This window comes from Homo sapiens, chromosome 14 (assembly GCF_000001405.40).
Source record: "Homo sapiens chromosome 14, GRCh38.p14 Primary Assembly".
Lineage (NCBI taxonomy): Eukaryota > Metazoa > Chordata > Mammalia > Primates > Hominidae > Homo > Homo sapiens.
Genome location: NC_000014.9, coordinates 65,870,990 through 65,886,822, shown reverse-complemented (window position 1 = coordinate 65,886,822; position 15,833 = coordinate 65,870,990). Strand labels below are relative to the sequence as shown.

At 36.6% G+C, this 15,833-nt stretch overlaps 1 pseudogene, besides 1 other annotated feature; it reads left to right on the top strand.

Annotated features, from left to right (window-relative positions):
* Nucleotides 5,756–8,790, top strand: NCOA4P1 (nuclear receptor coactivator 4 pseudogene 1; annotated as a pseudogene).
* Nucleotides 11,386–11,555: an enhancer, noted in NCBI's record as "experimental_35314 CRE fragment used in MPRA reporter constructs". NCBI's record gives its function as "activates a minimal promoter by MPRAs in K562 erythroleukemia cells, with activity observed for both the introgressed and non-introgressed 14:66342071 variant alleles {active_cell/tissue: K562}" and the evidence as "EXISTENCE:reporter gene assay evidence [ECO:0000049][PMID:34662402]".

The following is a 15,833-nucleotide window of genomic DNA, read 5'->3' as shown; positions in this document are numbered from 1 at the left end:
AACTCATCTCAAATTGAAAATACTGGCTGGGTGCTGTGGCTCACACCTCTAATTCCAGCACTTTGGGAGGCCGAGGTGGGCAGATTGTTTGAGCCCTGGAGTTCAAAGCTAGCCTGGGCAACAAGGCCAAACCCCGTATCTACAAAAAATACGAAAATTAGCCAGGCATGGTGGCATGCGCCTATAGTCCCAGCTACTCAAGAGGCTAAGGTGGGAGGATCCACTGAGCCCAGGAGGCCAAGGCTGCAGTGAGATGATTGCACCACTGCACTCCCCCTGGGCAACAGAGCAAGACCCTGTCTCAAAAAAAAAAAGAAAGAAAAAGAAAATATCATAAATCGAAAGTGTTTTTGGCTTACAATACTTTCAATTTACAATGGGTTTATTAAGACATAACTCCATCGTAAGTCAAGGAGCATTTGTAGTTTAATATGTTTGGTTTAATAAAACAGTTACGTCTTCTCTGATTTATCTGTGCTGAGTATAATAGAAGCATACATTTTATTCTACTTGGCTTTGCTTTGTCCTATAGTTATCAGGTTACTGATCAAACACACTAATATTATTTGTACATAATGTAAATTTGTGTCCAACAAAATTGAATCATGATTTCCAAAACTTTATTTCAAGAATAATTATGTTTCATAGCCTGCCAACTTGAAGATAATTTCCAAGATCCTTAGGTAGTTGAAAAACCTTGAACTGGTATTAAATTAATTATTAGATATATGGAGAATATCTACATAATTTCTAAGTAAGATAGACTACTGTACCATATAATTAATTAATTAAAAGCTCTAGAGGGGCTATATCTATGAGTAATGTTAGTGAACATGTTCACTTTTGCCACTTTAAGAACATGTAAAAGAGATGTGCATGGCTGTAGAAAATTGTTTCAAGCTTTTCTAGTTTGCTGTAATGCTCATGTATTGCAGGAAGTTCTCAATTACCCATCCCACACTGACTTTTCTCTGTAAATGAGAAGTTAGTTACTTTGTTTAAAAGTTATAATTAATGAGTGGTTGCCACTAAGGAGCGATAGTGACAGGGAGATCCAACTGCATGTGTGTTTTGATATTTCATGGAAAAAGAGCGGCTGTCCTCAAATTTTTGGTCTCCAAACCATTTTACACCCTTGGGGCTTGTTGCAGATCTCAAAGGTTATCTGTGTATGTAGATTATAACTATCAATATCATATTAGAAATTAGAGCTGAGAATTTTAAAAATATTGGTTTATTGCCTAATTTGAGAATAGCAGTGATGAACAAATTGCATGTTTACGTAAGTAATATGTTAGAAATACTTTAAAAATTTGTTTTGATCTTTTGGACCTGAGATCTGTCCTTATGTCGTGTGTCAGTTTGTCCCAGAATACCTAAGAGCATAAGGAAAGACCACACTTGGAATGTGGATTCAGCTTGGCCTTTGTGGATGATAGCTCAGTCTGAAAAGAAGTGATGAAATGTGTTAAAATCTTAGGAAAGTTCATTCTATTTTGATGGGTTTGCTTCCCTGGTTTATTGATGCATGCCTTTGTTTACAATATGAATGGTAATTCTTCACTGTCTGTAATGAATACTATGCTTACTTTACAAAATTAAAGTGAAGAATTCTTTCTGTCTAGAGAGAAAATATTCTGTGTCTTACCAGAATAATTTTCTGTGTTATATGATGACCTTATAATGTCTTTGATTATTTAAGGAGAAAAAAATTCCTCATTTATGAAAGACATAAGGGTTTTTTCTAACTGCATTGCTGTTAGTATATATTTTTAAATGTTTTATTGTCACTTTAATTAAATAGGTAACCAAATATTGCTTCTTAGGTATCCATGGCCTCTCGTAAGCAAGTGTCCAAACTGTTCTGATAACTTTTAAAAATTTACCTTCCCCAAATAGGATCCTAAATGTAGAAAAAAAATGAAATAAAAGTTTCAAGATTTTTTTTACACCTAAAACTTTCATCTTTGAGATTTCCCAGAAAGCTCCGGGGAAAAAAAATGACAAGGTTTTCTCTTTTACTTTATAAAAAAAGAAGTATTAGAAATAAGTGGGTTTGTTTGATATGTGACTAGTGTAAGAGTTTCATGGGAAGAGATATCAGAAGAGACATTCATCCTGCCCCAGGTGAAATCTGTGTAAGTTAAGTGAATACTTCAGAAATTGTATGATTTGTGGGATGTCCCTGGGGATTTGTCAATGTTCTCACTTTTTTAGCCTATGTTTTCACCTCAGGGAAAACACTGATCAAAACTCTTAAGAAATGGTTTCTTTCAAGTTTTTCTGTATTTGTTAGTATCCTGGCAATGTTTTGTCTGATATTAGACAACAGCAGTATAGCATATAGCATTATTAATTGTAAACTCAGTTATTATTTGAAATGCTAACTTAACCAAAACCTTACTTCTTTAATTTGAATCTAGAGGATTCTAGATCATTAATTCTCAACTGGGGATATACATCAGTCTTACCCATGGAGTATTTTTAAAAATATAAAATAGAAGAATATAAGCAAGAGGACCAACTAGACCAATGAGTCAATGAAGAAAATTTAAAAATTTCGTGAATCATGAAAATAGAAACACAACATACCAAAGCCTATGGGATATACCAAAGCAGTGTTAAGAGGGCAGTTTACAGCAATAAATGCCATAGATTTCAAATAAACAACCTAATGTACATCTCAAGGAAGCAGAAAAGCAAGAACAAAGCAAACCCAAAGTTAGTAGAAGAAAAGAAATAATAAAAATCAGAGGAGAAGTGAACAAAATTGAGACAAAAAATACACAAGATCAATAAAATGAAAAGTTAATGTCTTGAAAAATAAAGAAAATCAACAATACATTAGCTAGACTATCCAAGAAAAAAAGAGAAAAGACCCAAATAAATAAAATCAGGAATGAAAGAGGAGACATCACAACTGATACCACAGAAATAACAAAGGATAACTTGAGACTATATGAACAACTGTATGTCAACAAATTGGAAAACCTAGCAGAAATGGATAAATTCTGGGTCACAAATGACCTATCCAAGATTGAACCAAGAAGAAATAGAAAACTTGAACAGATCAATTAAAAGTAATGAGATTGAATCAGTAATAAAAAGTCTTCCATGAAAGCAAGCCCAGGACCTGATGGCTTCACTGCTGAATTCTACTAAACATTTAAAGAACTAATACTAATTCTCCTCAAACTCTTCCAGAAAATTGAAGAGGAGGGAATTATTTCAAACTCAATGTATGAGGCCAGCATTATTGTGATACCAGAACCAGACAAATATACAATAAGAAAAGAAAACTATAGGCCAATATCCCTGATGAACATAGATGTAGAAATCCTAAAAATAAAAAATAAAAAATAAAAAATAAACTAGCAAACCAAAACTACCAGCACATTAAAAAGACCATTCACCCTGATCAAGTGGGATTTAACCCAGGGACCCATGGATGGTTCAACATACACAAATCAATAAATGTGATACATCACATGAACAGAATGAAGGACAAAAACTGATCATCTCAATTAGATGTAAAAAACACACTTGATGACATTCAACATCCCTTCATGATAAAAAAAATTCTCAACAAACTAGTTATAGAAGGATCATACCTCAACACAATAAGGGTCATATATGACAAATCCACAGCTGTACTGAATGGGGAAAAGCTGAAAGCTTTTCCTCTAAGACCTAGAACAAGACAAGGATGCCCACTTCATCCTAGTAATGAAAGTCCTATGGCAATTAGGCAAGAGAAAAAAAATATTCATCATAGTAGTGAAAGTCCAGGGCAATTCGGCAAGAGAAAAAAATAACAGACACTTTAATTGAAAAGAAAGAAGTCAAATGACCCTGTTTGCAGACAACATAATTTTATATATAGAAAACCCTAAAAGTTTCACCAAGAAAACCTCTTAGAACTGATAAACAAATTCAGGAAAGTTTCAGGATACAAAATCAACATACAAAATCAGTTGCATTTCTATACACCAACAACAAACCAGCTGAGAAAGAAATTAAGCACACAGTCACATTTAAAATAGCTATTAAAAAATTAAAATATCTAGAAATAAATTTAACCAAGGAGGTGAACTATCACTATAAGGAAAAGCATAAAATGCCAGTGGAAGATATTAAAGAGAATACAAACAAATTGAAAAATGTACCATGTTCTTGGACTGGAAGGATTAATATTGTGAAAATGACCATGCAACCAAAAGTGTTCTAGAGATTCAATGCAATCTCCATCAAAATTCCAATGGCATTATTTACAGAAATATAAAAGGCAATTTTAAAATGTATATGGAACCACAAAAGACCCCAAATAGCCACAGAAATCCTGAGCAAAAAGAACAAAACTGGAGGCAACATACTTGACTTCAAAATATACTGCAAAGCTATAGTAACCAAAAGGGCATGGTGTGGCATAAAAAGACACATATGGAACAAAACAGAGATCCCTGAAATAAATCTGGGTATTTACAATCAACTGATTTTCAACAAAGGTGCTGAGAACATTCAGTGGGTAAAGGATAGCCTCTTCAATAAATGGTGCTGGGAAAACTGAATATCTATATGCAGAAAAATGAAACTAGACTCCTATCACTCACCATCTACAATAAATCAACTCAAAATTGATTAAAGATGTACATGTAAGATGCAAAACTGTGAAACCACTAGAAGAAAACATGAGGAAAATGTTTCAAGACATCGATGTGTACAAAGATTTTATGGAAAATACATCAAAAGCACAGGCAACAAAAGTAAAAACAGACAAATGGAATTATATCAAACTAAAAAGCTTCTGCATAGCAAAGAAAACAACAGAGTGAAAAGAGAACCTGCAGAATGGGAGAAAATATTTGCAAACTATTCACCTGACAAGGGATTAATATTCAGAATATACAAGGAACTCAGACAACTTAGCAAAAAAAATCAGATTTAAAAATAGACAGATTTTAAAATGTGCTGAATAGACATCTCTCAAAATAAGACATACAAATAGCCAGTAGGTGTATGAAAAAATGCTCAACATCACTAATCATCAGAGAAATGCAAATTAAAACCACAATAATATATCATCTCATCCCAGTTAGAATGGCTGTTATCAAAAAGACAAAAAATAACAAATGCTGGAGATGATATGAAGAAAGGGGAACTCACACATACATACACACTGTTGCTGGGAATGTAAACTAGCATAGCCATTATGGAAAACAGTATGGAGATTGCTCAAAAAAACTAAAAATAAAACTACCATATGATCCATTAATTCCACTGCTGGGTATATGTTCACAAGAAAGGAAATCAGTATATCAAAGAGATATCTGCAGTACTGTGTTTACTGCAGCACTATTCACAATAACCAAGGTTTGGAAGCAACCTAAGTGCCCTCAACAGATGAATGGATAAAGAAAATGTGGTACATATACTCAATGGGATATTAGTCAGCCATAAGAAATAATAAAATTCTGTCATTTGAAGCAACATGGATGGAAATGGAAGACATTATGTTAAGCAAAATAACTCAGGCACAGAAAGACAAATATTCCATGTTCTCACTCTTATATGAGAGCTTAAAAAGTGGATCTCATAGCAGTAGACAGTAGAATGATGGTTACCAGAGGCCAAGAAGAGTGGGAAGGGGACATAAAAAGAGGTTGGTTAATGGGTACAAAAATACAGTTAGATAAAAGGAATAAGTTCTGGCATTTGATAGCAGAGTAGGGTGACTATAATTAAGAATAATTGATTAGAGTGTACCCAAAACAAAGCTCTAGCCAATCAAGTCTCTGTGTGCCTGGAGAGACTGGGCAGTTTGACCTTTAAGCCTGAATATTCAACTGTCCTACTCTTTGAAGCAGACACAACTGCTCTGCATCAGACCATCACCACATTTGTGTCTCTCAAAACCATTCAAATTCCTGAGCACTTGATGGATCATGCTAGTTCATCAAATATTGGGCCTTTCCTGAAGAAAAGAGGCTATATCCCAATGCAAGAGCAGAATCCAGCATCACAACTGTTCCTCTCAGCAAATGGCTCCTTGGAAACAAATCTGCCAGTGATTGTCTGGACTGACTCACCCAAAAGCAGACCTTGGAGAATAGTCAGACTTCTGCAAGAGCCTGCAATTTCTTCAGTAGTGTCTGGGAAAACCTAAAGGGCTTAGAAAACTGGCTCCTCAAGAGTCAGTGACAGGAAGTTCCTGAAAAACCAAGTTATCAAAAGTGTAACAGCCATTCCACTACCAGTTCTTTCTCCATTGAAACTGAAGATCAAGAGTTTCCTGAACAAGATGAGACAGATCTATCAGATTGGTTGGTGACTCCCTAGGAACCCCAGAAGCTGGAGAAGCCTGAGAATGGCAGTCGTGAAACCAGTGAGAAGTTTAAGCACTTGTGCTAGTCCTACAATGTGAACGATTGGCTTGTCAAGACCAACTCCCGCACCAACTGTCAGGGCAACAAGCCCAAGGGGGTGGAGATTGAAAACCTGGCAATCTGAACTGCCTGAATGACCACTTGGAGGCCAAAACACCATTGTCCACCCCCAGCGTGGTTACTGGGATTGGCCTGTCCAGAAGCATCATGACCCATGTAAGGTAGAGGAGATGTGCAAAGCCAATGAGCCCTGCACAAGCTTTGCAAAGTGTGTGTGTGATGAGAATTGTGAGAAGGAAGCTCTGTGCAAGTGGCTTCTGAAGAAAGAAGGAAAGGATAAAAATGGGATGCCTGAGGAACCCAAACCTGAGCCTGAGAAGCATAAAGATTCCCTGAACATGTGGTTCTGTCCTTCTAGAAAAGAAGTAAGAGAACACAGGCACTAAAGGTAATGGTTCCTTCTGGAACTTCTGATTCCTTCCAAGTCATAAAGAACAGCTGTCAGAGTGGCTCATCTGGCCGCCATACAAAAAAGGAAGTCCCAAGGAAGACAGAGCTGGCAAACCAAAGCCTAAAAGCCCCATGACCACTTCCTGGTGTCCCTTTAACACAGCTGACTGGGTCCTGCCAGGACAGAAGATGGGCAACCTCAGCCAGTTATCCTCTGTCAAAGACAAGTGGCTGCTTGGAAAGAAGGCCCAGGAAGTATTAATTAATTCACCTCTACAGGAGGAATATAATTTCCTCCTAGACCTTTTCGGCCTCCCTGCAGTTTGTGACCTTTTTGCCTGTATGCAGCTTAAGTTGATAAAGAGAAGTGGTTACACCAAACTCCTCTGCAGATGTGAAGGAATGGACAGCAAGAGTTGAGCAGTTTTCTGCCGATCATCACACATCATGAGCTGAGTGACTACAGGTTGCCAAATCATTGTTTCTGAGTCTGACCAGTGAGCTTAGTTCTTCTCCTGCCTAATTTTGTACTAGTGAAGTGAGGTGAGTCATGAGATTGAGTTACTGTTTAAAAGAAAAACCCTGTTTAGCAATGCTGAGGTGACTCAGTTCCTTCCTTCTTACAGAAGTATTAATCCACCCTACACTAGAAATGCAGCACCTTGGTGGACCCATCTTTTTCACAAGCCTCCAAGTCTCCTTAGATTGGGTTGTTACTAAAAGTACATTAAAGCACTCTAGTCTTAAAAATGAAATATTTATATAATCGAAGTGTATTGATGTATTCTAAAGCTAGTAAACTTCCGTAACTTTTAATTGCCCTATAGATGCTTCTCTTGCTGTGGGTTTTCTTCTGTTAGTGGTCAAAATAATGATTTTTCTGTTCTGTTAATATATTGTGTATTTTACAAAAAAAATTAACCTGGCCAATAGTGATTACCAAAAATATACATTAACAATCTTGGCAATTTTTGACATTAACTACCAAACATTTTAGCCTACATGCTAGTTCTACATTATTTTTCATCTTCACTTGAAAGAAACTCAGCTATTGTCTATTTCTTTCTGTAAATGTTATTAAAGTATCCAGTGAGCTCTTTTAGAAGGGCTCCGTATTATTTCAAGACTATTTTCAGGGTAGTTCTGGCCTTTCAAAATATTCTACAGACCTACAGGGTTTAAAAGAACCTCAGTGCTGACTAAGCAAATAGGCAAGACGTTGGAAATGTGGTCTAGTACTTGAACCATTCACTATCGTAGGGATTTTGGGTGCATCCTGTGTAAATGGAAGCTGAGCTTGACACATCTGGTGCTTTTAACTAGGGATAAAGTTGTCCTCTCACTGCAAGCACAGTATATCTGTACCTCCAAAAGTACAACGCAGTGACATTTTGTGAACAGACCATTTTCAACACTTGTGCCTTGGGGTATTCATTGAAGCTTTATGAAAACTACTGATGTTTTTTCAATATCCTTAAAGTTATGTCCATGCTTTAAAATGTCTCTGTAGGAGAGAAGAGAGGTTTATAATGTTTTTAAATTCTCTAAGATATTTTTGCTGCTTTCCAGACTTTGAAACTATTAAGCTTCTTAACTGCCTATATTATTAGAAATACTTCTGGGGAAATTTCATGGTCCCACAATGTCATTGCCATACAGCTTCACTAGAGTTCTTTGAACCACAGCTGAAAAGAGCTTTGTATTATTTTTTAATCCCCTCCCCAGATATCATTTAGAACTATTATAATAAAGGTGGTGGGTAATAACAACCTAAGGAGCCTTTCTAGTTACCTTAAGTTGCAGCTAACTCTGTGGTTTCTTTTTTGAGGCCTAACAAACATACTGTATTTTACATTATCAAAATGTAGTTTACATTACTCACTATGTTAATGAGTATATAAAAGATTCTTTTGCATTGATGCATTTTGTATCTGCCTTCATTAAAAGCAAAACAGCCCTAAAAAAAAAAGGAAAAAAGAAAGAAATTAACCACAGCCATATGTCTTTGTTACCTACAAATGGTTTTTGTTTTACTCTAATACATCCCTGAGGCGATGCTATAAAGTGAAGGCGAGAGTTTATGTCTTAAATAAAGCTTCCCGGAAAAGGACTATACTAGGTACTTCAAACTATTGACATTTCAAAGAATAGACTCTTGGGTACAGTCTTCTGATGTAACGTAACTTAGACAACACTCAGACTGCACCTGTGGGCTAAGGCAAGATTTCTAAACTCTTTTTAGTTGAGAAGCAGACAGCTTCATGAGATTGCTAACCCAAGATCCAGAGGAACAAGAATTAATTATAGGACTGAATATACTGATAAGGGAAATTTTATTGGGGTTAGCTGGAATATTGTTTTTGTTTTAATGTTCTGTTTTCTGAATCTATAAGAAAGCCACTTCCCTCTCTTCTTATACTTCTTTAACCCATGACAATTTAGTAAACTCTGCTTTTGTAAACTGAAATGACACTGATTTTAGACCACTCCTGCTTACAGAGCACAGAGAAGTCACACAGACCTGTGCCCACCGGCATCCCACCCCAAGCCAAAACCACCACCAATGTGACTGCTCACACATTTGCCAGCAGGGTCCTCAACAGCTGCATTGCCTCCGCCACTGTGGTGAACGCCTGCAGGGAGGCATGCACCCCAGCACCTGTGAGCACCCTGCCGCAGCTGCCACTACTGACGCTGCTGGCATGTATGAATGAGGAAGGGTCCCACTGTCACTGCACTAAGAAATGCTTTGGCTGACACCACCCATCGGAGTGTAGTGACCAGCAGTGTCGGAGCACCTCACTCCCCACCCTCAACCAGCAAAGTAGATTCCTAACCTCAAGGAGCCAGAGAACAAATTTGGGGCCCAATACAAGTCCCCCAGAGTTAGAGTGCGCCGTCTCAAAGTTAGGATCTGAGTGTTGGCCACCTAAAATCTTCCAGAAACAAAGCCAGTTGGCCGAATCCACCTTACACCAAAATCAAACCCTCAAAGTCATCAAATAGGATAAAAGAAAAAAAAATCCCAAGGTCAGCACCCTCAAAGATAGAAGGAACATAAGTCCACAAAGATAAGAAAGAATCAACACAAGAACCATGACAACTAAAAAAGCCAGAGTGTCTTCTTTCCTCTAAACAACCATATCAACACTCTAGTAAGGGTTCTGAACCAGGCTGAGATGACTGAAATAACAGAAATAGAATTCAGAATATGGACAGGAATGAAGATCATTGAGCTACAGGAGTACATTGAAACCTAATCCAAGGAAGCTAAGAATCATGATAAAACAATGCAGTAGCTGACAGATAAAATAGCCAGTATAGAAAAGAATGTAATTACTTGACAGAGCTGAAAAACACACTACAATAATTTCATAATGCAATCACAAGTATTAGTAGCAGAATAGATCAAGTGGAGAAAAGAATCTCAGAGCTTGAAGACTGGCTTTCTGATAATAGACAATCAGACAAAAATAGAGAAAAAAGAATGAAAAGGAACAAACAAAACCTCCAAGAAACATGAAATTATGTAAAGAGACCAAATCTATCACTCATTTTTGTCCCTTAAAGAAATAGGGAGAGTGTAAGCAACTTGAAAAACATATTTCAGGATATCATTCATGAGAACTTTCCCAACCTAGCTAGAGAGGCCAATGTTCAAATTCAGGTAATGCAGAAAACCCCCTAAGATACTTCACAAAAAGATCATCCCCAAGACACATAATCATCAGATTCTCCAAGGTTGAAATAAAAGAAAAATTGTTAAAGGCAGCTAGAGAGAAAGGTCAGGTCACCTACAAAAGGAAGCCTATCAGACTAATGGTGGACCTTTCAATAGAAACCTACAAACCAGAAGAAATTGGAGGCCAATATTCAACATTCTTAAAGAAAAGAATTCCAACCCAGAATTTCACATCCAGCCAAATAAAGCTTCATAAGCAAAGGAGAAATAAGATTCTTTAACAACTTCAGTCAAGTTTTTAAACAACTTCAGTCAAGTTTTTAAACAACTTCAGTCAAGTTTTTAAACAACTTCAGTAAAGTCTCAGGATACCAAATTAATGTACAAAAATCACTAGCATTCTTATACAAGCAAATGCTGAGAGAATTTATTACCACAAGACTTGCCTTACAAAAGCTCCTGAAGGAAGCACTGAAAATGGAAAGACCGTTACCAGCTGCTACAAAAACACACTGAAGTACACAGACTAGTGATACTATAAAGTAACCACATAAACAAGTCTGCAAAGTAACCAGCTAACATCATGATGACAGGATCAAACACACACATATCAATAATAACTTTGAATGTAAATGGGCTAAATGCCCCAATTAAAAGGCACAAGTGGCAAGCTGGATAAAGAACCAAGACCCATTGGTATGCTGTCTTTTAGAGACCCATCTCACATGCAATGACAACACAGGCTAAAAATAAAGGGATGGAGACAAATCTACCAAGCAAATGGAAAACAGAAAAAGACAGGGGTTGCAATCCTAGTTTCAGACAAAGCAGATTTTAAGCCAACAAAGATCAGAAAAGACAAAGAAGGGCATTACATAATGGTAAAGGGTTCAATTCAACAAGAATACCTAACTATCCTAAATATATATGCACCTAACACGGGAGCAGCCAGATGCATAAAGCAAGCTCTTAGGGGCCTTCAAAGAGACTTAGACTCCCACACAATAACAGTGGGAGACTTTAACACAACACTGACAATATTAGACATATTATTGAGACAGAAAATTAACATTGATATTCAGGACCTGAACTCAGCACTGGATGAAATGGACCTGATAGACATCAACAGAACTCTCCAAAACAACAGAATATACATTCTTCACATCACCACATGGCACATACTCTAAAATAGATTACATAGTTGGAAGTAAAACACTCCTCAGCAAATGCAAAAGAACTGAAATCATAACAAACAACCTCTCAGACCACAATACAATCAAATTAGAAATCAAGACTAGGAAATTCACTCAAAACCATACAATTACATGGAAATTGAATAACTGCCCCTGAATGACTTTTGGGTAAATAATGAAATTAAGGCAGTAATCAAGAAGTTCTTTGAAACAAATGAGAACAAAGATGCAACATACCAGAATCTCTGGGACACAGCTAAGGCAGTGTTAAGAGGGAACTTTGTAGCACTTAAAGCCCACCTCAAAGAGTTAGAAAGATCTCTATATGACAACCTAACATCACAACGAAAAGAACTAGAGAACAAAGAGCAAACCAATCCAAAATCTAGCAGAAGACAAGCAATAACCAAAATCAGAGCTAAACTGAAGAAGACTGAGACACAGAAAATCATCTAAAGATGAATGAATCCAGGAGCTGTTTTCCTTGAAAAAAATTAATAGAATAGATAGACCACTCGCTAGACTAATGAAGGAGAAAAGAGAGAAGATCCAAATAAAAACAATCAGAAATGAGAAGGGGGATATTACCACTGACTCCACAGAAATACAATAATCATCAGAGAATATTATGAACACTTCTATGTACATAAACTAGAAAATCTAGAAGAAATGGACACATTCCTGGACACATACATCCACCCAAGACTGAGCCAGAAAGATATTAAATCCCTGAACAGACCAATAATGAGCTCTGAGATTGAGTCAGTAATAAATAGCCCACCAATCAAAAAAGCCCAGGACCAGATGAATTCACAACTGAATTCTACCAGATGTACAAAGAAAAGCTGGTACCATTCCTACTAAAACTATTTCAAACAACTGTGGAGGAGAGACTCCTCCCTAACTTATTCTATGAGTCCAGCATCACCCTGATTCCAAAACCCGACAGAGACACAACAAAAAAAGAAAACTTCAGGCCAATATCCTTGATGAACATTGATACAAAAATCCTCAACAAAATATGGCAAACCAAATCTAGCAGCACATCAAAAAGCTTATCCACCACAATCAAGTAAGCTTTATTCCTGGGATGCAAGGTTGGTTCAACATATACAAAATAATAAATGTGATTCACCACATAAACAGAACCCAAACCAAAAACCACACGATTATCTCAATAGATACAGAAAAGGCTTTCAATAAAATTCAACCCCGCTTCATGTTAAAAACTCTCAATAAATAGGTATTGAAGAAACCATGTGTGGTGCACATATATACTAGAACTTAAAGTATAATTTTAAAAAAAATTTTGGGGGGGAGGTGCCAGGCGCAGTGGCTTACACCTGTAATCCCAGCACTTTGGGAGACTAAGGCAGGTGGATCATGAGGTCAGGAGTTCAAGACAAGCCTGGCCAAGATGGTGAAACCTCATCTCCACTAAAAATACAAAAATTAGCTGGGCGTGGTGGCAGGTGCTGGAATCCCAGCTACTCAGGAGGCTGAGGCAGAGAACTGCTTGAACCCAGGAGGCAGAGGTTGCAGTGAGCCAAGATTCTGCCACTATACTCCAGCCTGGGTGACAGAGTAAAATTCTGTCTCAAAAAAATAAAAAAAAAATTTAAAGAAACAGATTTTAAATATCTGATTCTCACTGAGTTCCCAGAATTCAGAAACTCTTAAAGAACCTCCTTACTTTTCATGGCAATATAGTTATTTGCATAATTTTGGTAGGAATTGGTCCTGCTTTTCACCATAATATAATTAAATAATTGATAGTACAATCAAGGCCTTATCCGAAGTGTCATATCTGAGAATGGTGCTCATTTAATCAGATATGAACACCAGTTTGTTTTAACAAACGCAAGTTGGTCATACTTAGAGAATCAGTGCCTACAAAGCCCTCCCAGGAAAACTGGCCTGGTTCCTGGCTGACAGAGTCCCCACCTTTTGAGGTGTTGGAAAGGTCATTTTCTAGTACACCAGTAACGTTAGGATATTCAGGGACCGTAAGAAAAGAGGATTTCACCCAAATTCATAGGTACTGCAGGTGAAATTTGGTAGAGAGAGTTTCTTGGAATTGATTTCCTAGCCTCAAGATAGTAAATAGCAGAGGCTTTTAAACCCATCTGATATTTTTATGAAAACTCCCAGACATAAGTTAATTTGGTAGCATTAGTTGTTGCTCAGTACTATATAGCTCAAGATTTGCAAAGACTGGCAAACTTAAGAAAAACGATATGCTAATTAACATCCTTGCTGCATCTATGTAAACAATCAGGCTAAACCTAATTGAAATCAGCCTTATTTTGTGATCAAGAATTCTTTCTTTGAGATTATGTAATCACAAGGGGAAGAAGGAGATTGTTAGAAAAAAATTGTGAAAGACTTTGAAATGTACTAAAAACTACCAAAGAGATTACTGGATGTTTTTATTGGAAAACTATGCGTTGTCTAGAGCATACCACTTTGGCTTATCTAATTCTATGTGGTTTAGACCTATCCTATCTTTGAGCTATTTTACCACTCTGTAAGTTATAAAAATAAAATGATAGCAATGTAAACAATTTTTTTCTATAAACATGCAAATTAATTCTGTCTGGTGGAGGAACAATTGAATCCCACCCCACCCCAACAATTATGGAAAAAGCCAATTTTGCATTTATTTGTAAATTCATTTCATGACCTACATATAGCTCTACTCTTTGAATTCTCCTTTGAACTACTTGTAACATCTTACTGATTTCCTCATGAATTAATAAGTTAAATAAAATATTTGACATATGTTCACTTTGTATATTTATTTGACAGTCATGGTTTTATCTTAAAAAAGTATCCATTAACAAGTTAAATTTATTTTGTTTTTGTGGTGTAAACTCTATTATTTATATATAATTATAAAAGCATTGCATTGTCAACAGTTAACTGGTTGACATAATTTTAGTTTAATAGACACTCAATTAAGCATTTATTAAATTTTGCTTTCTATCTTGGAGTTAATAATTTAATTTTAGGTTTCTAACATTCTTGCAGGTACTTGAAAAGTTCTTAAGCCCTAAGCACTGTAACTGTGGGGCAAAAATCAATATAATAACTGTGTAGTCACTCAATAAATACTTGTTGAATAAATGATTGAATTACAAATAATATCTATCATTTTGGTGGCATTTCCCAAGTGCCATACATTCATATACACACCAGAAATAAAAAATACAAGATGAAAAATAAACTAGGTAGTAAGATTTGTTGGAAATTATTATTGTTATTATTATTGTTGCCATAATGGCAATAAGGCAATAATAATGGGCTAAAACAGGCTGAATATCTTGCCTGCAATTGCACAGTTCTAAGTGCCAGAAGTAATATTTGAACCCAGTTTTCTGACCACAGAGTTCATACCTTTTCACTACCCAGGATATGGTCCTGAGTCTTGTGCCTCTTTGAGGAAGTCCCATCATGGTGATTCATATTTTCTTTTCTTTTTTTTTTTTTTTTGTCCTTCTACTCTCAAGCCCCATTATCCTTGTTCTTGGCTATGGAGACATCTCACTGGAAAGCACAGCACTCACAGGCCTTGGATTTCTAGTTCTGTGAGCAGGAGTAAAATCCTGGCCCTTTCTGAAGCTATGTATTCTTGAGCAAGTTATTTAATATATCTATTAAAATAAGAATATTAATAACATCTTACCATAAGGGTATTGAGAAGGAAAATGAGATAATGAAGTAACAAGCTTGGCACTGTTCCTGGCACAGAGTAAGTGCTCAGTAAGCAGTGGTCGAGGTCATAGTTGCTTACAGATTCCTGCTCCTCTCTGGCCACTCTAAAGCCTCTGAACTGCAGTCAAGGGCGGCAGGGATTGGGTTAGGATGGAAGAAATGGTAGCGAGAGGACACGATTTGCATAAGCCTTTACATTTTATGAAAACTCTTTCTATTCCACAATGGAACAAGTCTTTTGAAGCAAGGCAGTACAACCTAGAGACAATTTAAACAAATTCCAACTGGAGAGTTACAAGAGAGATTGCAAAAAGAAACTGGAGTCATGCCTTAATGGGTCCAAATCCCAGTGGCTCTGAGCCAAGCAGGCTCCAAATCTGCCTCAGCTCCTGATTGCACTGAGCCCAAATC